The 9,161-nt window shown below is 44.5% G+C and overlaps 1 protein-coding gene and 1 long non-coding RNA gene across 43 annotated transcripts in view, besides 2 other annotated features; one reads left to right on the top strand and one right to left on the bottom strand.

Moving 5' to 3' along the window:
- The window catches only part of LOC124902255 (uncharacterized), a 35,154-nt gene that overhangs the window by 3,183 nt on the left and 22,810 nt on the right, over positions 1 to 9,161 (bottom strand). Inside the window, exon 2 of the long non-coding RNA XR_007061746.1 lies at positions 7,811 to 7,933. This is a non-coding gene — a long non-coding RNA (uncharacterized LOC124902255). The remainder of the gene's footprint in view (positions 1 to 7,810; positions 7,934 to 9,161) is intronic.
- Positions 107 to 926: an enhancer, noted in NCBI's record as "NANOG-H3K27ac-H3K4me1 hESC enhancer chr9:117880715-117881534 (GRCh37/hg19 assembly coordinates)". NCBI's record gives its function as "activates a minimal SCP1, AML or CMV promoter by ChIP-STARR-seq in naive H9 embryonic stem cells {active_cell/tissue: H9 hESC(naive)}" and the evidence as "EXISTENCE:reporter gene assay evidence [ECO:0000049][PMID:30033119]".
- Positions 1,205 to 9,161, top strand: part of TNC (tenascin C) — a 98,583-nt gene continuing 90,626 nt past the window's right edge. For 22 of the 42 annotated variants that reach the window (NM_001439099.1, NM_001439096.1, NM_001439098.1 and 19 more), the window contains exon 1: positions 1,205 to 1,380. The gene's annotated coding sequence lies outside the window, so the exon portion shown is untranslated. Of the gene's footprint in view, positions 1,381 to 2,838; positions 4,360 to 9,161 lie in introns of all 42 variants that reach the window. The other 20 variants (NM_001439100.1, NM_001439095.1, NM_001439088.1 and 17 more) reach the window with 3 other exon arrangements.
- Positions 4,250 to 5,449: an enhancer, noted in NCBI's record as "P300/CBP strongly-dependent group 1 enhancer chr9:117876192-117877391 (GRCh37/hg19 assembly coordinates)". NCBI's record gives its function as "activates an origin of replication core promoter dependent on BRD2, BRD4, P300/CBP, MED14 and CDK7 cofactors, with strong dependence on P300/CBP, by STARR-seq in HCT116 cells {active_cell/tissue: HCT116}" and the evidence as "EXISTENCE:reporter gene assay evidence [ECO:0000049][PMID:35650434]".

Here is a 9,161-nt window from a genome sequence, read left to right as displayed (position 1 = left end):
ACGTCAGTTTTCTTGTGTAAAAAAGAGACACTTGTGTCTATCCTACTTACTGGTTACAAGGATATAATAAAAATAGTGAACAAAAATAGTGTTCATAAAGTACCCTGCACAGCACCTGATTATAGACTTAATAAGGGAGGGCTCAATGGTAGTTGCGTTTTGAATTACATTTAATGCTTCATTTTACTTCACTGTCACAAACTACTATGCTCTGCGGCAGGCTCAGAAGTCTCTAGGCACGGGTGAAGTGCTACTTCTCCACTCCCTTAAATGCCCCTGTATGCCCTGAGGATACTCAATGCATGCTAACCACCAAACGAACGGATGACTCAGAGCTTGGAGGAAATCCACGGCAGGCTGGAAAGCAAAGGCGCAGCTTATGGCTCAAGGATTAGGTTGTTACCTTTTTAAATTATTGCTTTTCTTTAAAGAAAGGGCTGTGGGGGACGCCTTTCAGCACTAAGAGAAAACCTCAGAAATCCTTCCCCCTGGAGACCCAGCTGAGAAGACCACACCAGGCACAGGGCATGAACAATGTCAAAAAGCTACTGCCCTGCAGGACACTGGGGCTGGAACAAAGATGCCTCCCAGCAGCTGGGCAAGGCTGGCTCCCACACAAGAAAAGCAGGGCTGATGTGAGCGTCCCGCACGATCCCCACCTGCTGAGACCTAATCCTGGGTTATCTCTCCGCTGGCCCAGAGAAACCTGAAACCCCCCAGGCTTTTGAAGGGCTTTATCTCCTCTTTCCAGGAACTGGGCTCAGTCCCTGTACTCGCTCCGAGGTGCCACTGAGCAGCTGCTGCCCAGAGCCCAGGCGAGCCCTGGTCCCATTTCCAGCTTGACCAAGTACAAGAGGGGAGCCAGGGCTGCGGATCCTACTCCCTCTTGCTCCCCAGGCATCCGTCTCACAATTAGAAAACCCGTGTGGGGAGCAAAGCAAAAATCACATTTCACTAACAGCTACTCGGGGTCGGGGGCGGGCAGGCGGGAATTCCTACTTTCGCCATAAATTGTATGCAAATGGGTTCCTTCCCTGGCCGAGAGCCAGGAGTGAGTGCGTCTTTCATGAGCTAACCCTGTTCCGCTGGGAGGGCTGTTCCTTTAATTCGCCAACTGAAAAAGTGGGAAAGGATGTCTGGAGGCGAGGCGTCCCATTACAGAGGAAGGAGCTCGCTATATAAGCCAGCCAAAGTTGGCTGCACCGGCCACAGCCTGCCTACTGTCACCCGCCTCTCCCGCGCGCAGATACACGCCCCCGCCTCCGTGGGCACAAAGGCAGCGCTGCTGGGGAACTCGGGGGAACGCGCACGTGGGAACCGCCGCAGCTCCACACTCCAGGTACTTCTTCCAAGGACCTAGGTCTCTCGCCCATCGGAAAGGTAAGTCTGTTTTGCCCTCATCACTAGAGATCCTTATGATGTAAGGATTGCATTCCTGGTACCAAATGAGTTGTGATTTTATATTATAATTACAAAACATATGGGGTTTTTTTTTCCACCGCTGGAAAAAAAAGGAGTGTGTATTGGTTATATCAGATGCACCTTGACTTTTCTGGTCTTGTAATTTTGTTTGTTTTAACTTTATGAATAGTCAGACTTGGAAGGAACTTTTCGTAAAGTTGTTATCTTCTGCTGTTCTGCAGAGGAAAAGTAAAAATTTTCTCTTCAACTGCTCTCCTACTTCTAGTCTGGCTGATTCACCTGTATATATCTTTTATTTTGAGGGTTAGGGCAGTAGAGTTTTAAGGCAGACTTTGCTCATAGCCTGCCCCTGGGATGGGTTAGAGGGAGTTTGATAGAGGAGTGCAGGGAGAATATAAAAGTTTATATCTAAACAGCACTTACATAAAGTTTACAAAGAGTTTTGTACCCATTCCCTCATTTGGTCCTCAAAATATTCACCCTGGAAATGAGAGCTGGGGGACAGAAGAGAGGAGGTGGCTCCTGGGCCAGATGAATAACTGACAGGCAGCTAGAGAGTGGTGGAGAACAGCTTTACTGGGGTGCCTAGAGCCAGCAGCGTCCCACATGTCTCTAGAATCACCTCCTCCTCCTCACCTCTCATCACAGAAAGATCTGAGCAACAACATCCCCCAGGTATGGGAACCCTGCTGCCCCTGGTGTACTTTGGAAAGAACACAGGGGTTCTTCTCACCCATCAGTGTTGTAAGAGGAATAAGAGCTTAGGTTTGAAGCCAGAGGTGTTTGGTATTCTCCCCACCACCATACATATGACCCTGAGAAAGATACATCACTTCCTTAATCCTCAGTTTTCACATCTCTAAAATGGGGACAATAGCGTCTGCTGTCGTTTTGAGGAGAAAATGAGGTATAGAAAGATCAGCAATGACTGCTTAATAACTGGAAGTTTGGATAATCATTGTCATTGCCAAAAACTGCCATCACTCTGGAAGTTAAAAGAGGCATTGAGCCAGTCTTGGATTGTTTCTTGTGTGTTGTTCCTCAGCCCGCCCCCAGCCCCCGCTTTTTATCTCACCCAATCTGAGGGTGTCTCACTAGGCTGGCAGGTCTGAGACTTGGCTGTATTTTACAAGCAGGAGGTTGTGTTGGCACAGGTTGGAGAAAAGGTAGTAGCCCGGGGCTGGAAGTTAATGTCAAATTTTGATTCCAGAATGTCAGGAGGTTTTGAGTTTAGGCATCTGCAGATTCTAAAGCTGACAGCTATGAAGTACGATGCTGTTGGAAACTCTTTGGAAAAGCTTTCTGTCCGGAGGGAGGGCAGGACAGGGAGCACCACTTGAAGAATGAATGCCTCTTTTTCATGTTTTTGTAGACTTTTTCCCCCATTTTTACAGAGCTTTCCCATATGTGTTTTAGAAAGGAAAACTACTATCCATCCCAGCCAGGCAAGCCCAATTCAGGACTGAAGAAGATTTATTCAGTCCTAGACAACCAAGTGAAGAGTTTCTGGCTTTGTGCGCATACAAGTCATTTGCAGGAGATGTAAGTCAGCGTGCTTTGGCCCTTGCATTTCAGGAAGGTGACTGCTTTGTGGGGAAGAAAAAGGTGCACAATATGAGTATTCTCTGGTTTGCTCAAACAGGGTAAATTGGACAAGGATTGAAAGGGATGTTGCCAAGCTCTACAGTCATTAAATATTTTTTTCCTCTATGCTTTGTTTTAAAAACCTAGCTTCTCTATTTTATCCCACACTAACCTCCTCCTTCCCCACTCTAAGAAGTGACTAACGTTTCAGCCCTCAACTTTGTCATTCATATAATGGAGATGACAAACTATGTCTCACAGGGCTCTTGCAACATTCAAATGAGGTAATATATGGCAAACACTTGGCATAGTACCTTCCACATATTAAGGGTTCAATAAATGGAAACTTTTCTTAGTTTCTCTGTTTATCATTTTACAAGGACTTGTCCAAGATTAATATTCTAAGATCATGATTTTTAAACTTATTTTTAATGATGAAAATATTCATTACATGAATTTAGGGCAAACCCCCAGTATATGACAGGTAAATGCAGGGCTGCTTTGGTTGAAGTGGGGTCACAAGGTCTAAAACTTACACCTTTGCTCTTAGCCTCTGGGACATTGCCACAGAATCTTCAATGACAAAAAGCACATTTACAAATCATGAAACCAGGCTGTGTGCATTCTGGTTGCCATTCTGCCCTTCAACAAGGATTTTTGCCCCTCTGAGTCACCATCTGTAGCAGAAGTAAGAGCAAGTCCACAAATAGTGTAATAGACAGGAATATGAATGAGAAATAAAAGACTTAACAAAGGCTATTTTAATTAATTCTAATGACAATGATAGCCAAAATATATGATGAGCCTACTCTCTAAACTGTAGGCTTTTGTGGGATCATCCACAGCATGTCTCTGAGGTATGGACTATATTTGTTGGACAAAGAGATGGCTTCAAGAACAGGGAGACTGAATAACTTTACCAAGGTCCTAGAACTCAGAGTGATACAGCCAGGTTTCACACCCAGGTCCCCGTGATCACCAAGTCAGAGGTACATTCTGCCGTGTTCCTTCTGAATGCTTCTCTGCTTCTTGCCTGCCTTTAGAAGGAAAACACTTCCTTTCTGACTAAATATGCCCCTCCAGGCAGACTGTGGCCACCCATAAATACAGCAGTAGCCTGATCATATAACCAGAATGGAATTTGGAAAGAGAATTCAAGCTGACAGAATGAAAAACATATCCCCCTTAATCCTACCCTTTCTAATGCTAACAATAAATTAAGAGCACATATTCTCTCCTCTCTCTCTAGATTTCTATAGACACCTAGCTGTGCTTTCTTACAAGAAAACATATCCACTGGACCAAAGCGCAGCCCCCTTCATGCTGAAGCCACTTCAGTTTGAAACGTAAAAAGTAGGTTGCAAACATTTAGTTGGCTCGAAATATATGTCCTTTTGTGATGGTAAAACACACAAACACAAAGTTAATAGTGTCACATATGTAATAGGAGGGTTTGCCAATGGTTTCTCATCTCATTCTCACTCAGACACTACAAATTATAAATTACTAGCTCAATTTTAAAGAAATCGACACTCAAGGAAGTTAGGTGACTCATCTGAGGTCTTTCCGTAATTGAGGGGCAGAGCTGGCTTTGACCCAAGCTTTCTAACTAATACCCCACTGTTCTTTCTGCTGTGCTATATTGCCTTCTGAAGTCAGGCTGTGCTGACCAAGTTTAGAACCTTAAATGGTGTCTTTCAGTGAATGATCAAGATGGTGGAGAAGCCCCCAGCTGGCATTGGTGCCTATTGATTTTACAGAATAGCCCTGCATGTATCATTTTTCATGGTTCTCAGCAAAGGTCAGCTCTCAATGGTGCAACTCTCTGCCTGGAAACAGGAAAGTTCAAATTTCAGCCCTGGAAGAGAGAAGAATGAAACTAGAGGTAGCAGTCAGGTCACTCCTGCTGATTTTCATCTCAGAAAAGTAGGCACACAGGTGAGCCAAACATCTGGTTTTAAAAGGGCTGATTGGTAGGTAAAGTGAAATCGGCCTTGGGGCCATGAATCCCAGGACAGCTTGGAAATGGTTGTAGGCTCCGAGCCACAAATTGAGCCACAAATTCAGCGGAAGCCTCAGAGAGGAAGATTATGATTCAAATACCTCTCACTCTGAGAAGATTGTAGGGAATCCCCTTGAATCTTATCCCGGGCCAGTTTGAACACCTTCAACATGTGGGAAACATTAGATGAAGGCTCCCTTCCAAGGAGGAAAACCCCCCTCAAAGTGTGACATGACCAGCCTCCTGCAAACCCCAGGCCATAATTCCATTCAATGTAAAAGACAGAGATGGTGAACTTACCTACCTTCGGGGGCTATACATGCTTTGTGACTTCTCTGTAAAGGAGAAAAGTCTGCAAACCAACCTGATTCTAATCCTGGTGGCCAGACATTTTTCAGTTATGCCCTTAAGCCTAAACTCCTTTCCCTCCACCTTGTCTCACATTTCCAGCTTCTCTTCCACTTTAGAAACAACCCTGTCACTATCATTACTCTCTTTGGCCCTTCATCATGGAATAAAAGCAAAATGCCCAAGTCAAAAGCAGATCGCGAACGGAAAATCCCTTCCATGTGCATTTTTAGTCTATCTGTGAATGGAGATTTTAAAAATATGTATTTCATGCCACGTCGTCTCAGAATTTTGAAGTTTCCTGAAGTTCATAGGTCCTTCATGATATAGCCATGGTAACTTAAATAGCTTTGTTTGGTCCTTTAACCCTCCTCAAATACCCTATACCAAGAGCCAGAGATATATCATGAGTTCTGAACATAGATAGCTTTGCTTCAGAATTGACCGTTGTTCACCTCTAACCCTAAAGCTGGCTGCTGCTAACTTCGACAAGAATGTGTCTGAAATGTTCTCCTAGGAGAATCCTAGGGGATAATCGTAATAGCTAATATTTACTGAGGACTCTATAGGCATCATGCCATTTAGTCAACCATAGCTTCTAGTAAGTCTTATCACCCACCCTATTCAAATATGCACAATGTAAGGCTGAAAACGTTTAAGTAGCTTACCCAATACCATGCAGAAAGTACTTGGTGGAGTTAAAAATCAAACCCAGTTCCCAGTCCTGAGAGGCTAGTTATAACCATTTCAGTAAGGAAGTCATGCTCAGCTCCCTAATTCTATTCATCTTCTGACAAGAGAGAGGGCTAGACACAGCAAAGCTAAGAAAGACACAAAAGCTTGTCTTTTTGGCCCTGGTGTTCTTTGACAGACTGGTTAATTTTGCTATCTCCAGCTTGCTCCTTCAGGCTTCACCTCTTGAAAAAAACTGTAATTAAATGATTAGCATGTGACCCATAATGTAATACGTTTTCTCTACTAGACTTTAAGCTACATGAGGGCAAAGCCCGATCCACATCACATCCCTGCAACCAGCCTGAGACCTGAAGCATAGACACACATAAGCAAGTGCTGCCCAAGGGAAGCCATGAGTGCCCTGCAGGCTGCCTGGAATCCCCCTGCTCCAGGTTCCAACTGAGCTCTGCACGTCCCCCACTGTCTGTGTCATAATTACCCCTATGATTGCCTTCCCTGCCACACTGGACTGTACACCACTGAGGTCAAGAATGTTAGGGAGGCGGGAGCTTTGTCTGCTGGAGTTCATTTTCCCCAAAAACGGACCCACCATGGGCAGACGCACCATTAGCACAGTCCCCAAAGGAGATGCCCAGGACTGTGGGATGGTCTTGTGAAGGTCGATGCACAGATATTGCAGAGGAATGCTTTAACTTCTAGGTAGGTTACTATTTTCTTAAATCTCCTTAGGGAATACAGAATTTTCAAACTAAAAGGGCTTACGGGCAGCCTCTAAGCCAGAATCTTGCAGACTGGATTTTAAAAAGAATTTAAAAAGATTTGGGGGCTGCTGTGGAGAGACAGGGAGGCCAAGCAGGGGATTCCCCTCAACCTTATTTCAATGAAAGCCCCTCCACTTATCTATTTTGTACACTGAGCCTCCTCATGAAATTTTATTTGATGAAAGGGCTCTGTGCAGAAAAAACAGAATGTTTTTGTAAATTGCTGGCCTAGGTTAGCATACCTCATTTTAAAGAGGGTGAAACTGAGACATAGAGAAGGGAAAGATCTTTCTAAGATCTTCCGCCAGTTGGCAACAGGGTCAGGTTGGAATCCTAGGTCTTCTGACTCTTGCTCTTGGAAGCCAGGGACAATCTTAAAAGTTTCAGAATTAAGACATTCTTTTAGAAAAGAAAAATGAGCAGAGTCTTATTCTCTCAACAGCCTTAACTCACACGGACCGAGCCAAGGATGACTAGTATCTCCGTATTCATTATCTATTACTGCATACCAAATTACTTTAAATCAACACTCATTTATTATCTCATGGTTTCTAGAGGTCTAAGCACAGCTTAGTTGGATTTTCTGCCTCATGGTCTCTCATGAGGTTATTGTCTGTGTTGGACAGGGTTGATGTCTCATCTAAAGGCTGAATTGGGGGATGATTAGCTTCCAAGCTTGTTGATGTGGTTGTTGGCTGGACTCCATTTCTTGAGAGATATTGAACTGAGGGCCTCAGTTCCTTCAAAGCTGTTGGTCCAAGGCTACCCTCAGTTCCTTGCCACATGGGCTTCTCCAACAAGGCCATTTACATTAACAAAGCCAATGAGAAAGAGAGTTACCGGGCATGGTCGCTCACACCTCTTAATCCCAGCACTTTGGGAGCCCGAGGCGGGTGGATCACTTGAGGTTAGGAGTTCGAGACCAGCCTGGCCAATATGCTGAAACCCCGTATCTACTAAAAATACAAAAAAATTAGCCTGGCATGGTGGTGGGCACCTGTAATCCCAGCTACTCAGGAAGCTGAAGCAGGAGAATCACTTGAACTTGGGAGTCGTAGGTTGCAGTGAGCCAAGATCGAGCCATTCCACTCCAGCCTGTGCAACAAGAGCGAGATTCCATCTCAAAAAAAAAAAAAAAAAAAAAAAAAAGAGAGAGAGAGAGAAAGTCTATAAGCAAGAGGCACATCACAATCCTGTGTAACCTAATCATGGAAGGGATATTCCATCACCTTAGTCATATTCTGTTTGTTAGAAGAAAGTCACTGGGCCATCCCACACTCAAGGGGAGGTAATTGCACACGTATGAGAATGCCGGGAGGCAGTATCAATGGGGCCACCTTAGAGTCTGCCTGCCACAGCCTCCAGCACTCCAGTGTCACCAATTTCTGGCAACCTCTTATCAATGACAAGTTCACTCAACCCTTCAGTACCCTCACTGATGAGTAATAAAAAAATTGATCGAGACCATGGTGAAACCCCGTCTCTACTAAAAATACAAAAAATTAGCTGGGTGTGGTGGCGGGCACCTGTAGTCCCAGCTACTCAGGAGGCTGAGGCAGGAGACTGGCGTGAACCTGGGAGGCGGAGCTTGCAGTTAGCCGAGATCACACCACTGCACTCCAGCCTGGGCAACACAGTGAGACTCTGTCTCAAAAAAAAAAAAAAAAAAATTCTGGCAGCCACTAAAGTGGACTAGTTTTTATTTAACATCCTCCCATGTATATAGTGGAGCCAAGTGTTTTGATTAGTTGTTTTAACTCATTGGTTAGCCATAATTTCTCTTGAATTTCACCCCAGGGAGGGGCCTTTCACGGCAATGATTCCAAATGTATTTTATTCTAAAGCAAGACAGTCAGTGTGACCAAAACTAAAACTCATCCATTGTTCCTCCCTCAATCTATTCCTCTCAGCAGATATAATGAATAGTAACATCTTCGATTAATTCTTTTTTCTTTACTAACCCCACACACAAAATGTTGTAGTCTCTACTGCCTTGACAAGCAAATCTGTTCACTGCCTCCCCACTTTCTTGATCACCACCCCCTGCCCCACCTCCATTACCCCTGTAGTTCAGATCTTAGCATCTCACAGATGGGCCACTGCAACAGCTTTCCCACTGGCCCCCAGCAACCCAGCCTTCCCCTTCTTCAACCTGAGACATAGAGGTTAACATTCCTGGGCCTCAAGATTTCCAAATGCTTTTCTTCTGCCTGCAAAAAAGTCCAGATATTCTGACATTCAAGATTCTCCATGATCTTGCTTCTGGTCTCTAAACAGATCCTGTACTTCAGCTGTCATTCATACTGTTCACATCAACCCTTTTATTCTTTTTATATCCTTGTAAATGC

The sequence above is a fragment of the Homo sapiens genome, chromosome 9 (assembly GCF_000001405.40).
Source record: "Homo sapiens chromosome 9, GRCh38.p14 Primary Assembly".
NCBI lineage: Eukaryota > Metazoa > Chordata > Mammalia > Primates > Hominidae > Homo > Homo sapiens.
The sequence above is the reverse complement of the archived record's forward strand: the minus strand, read 5'-3'. Positions and strand labels throughout refer to the sequence as shown.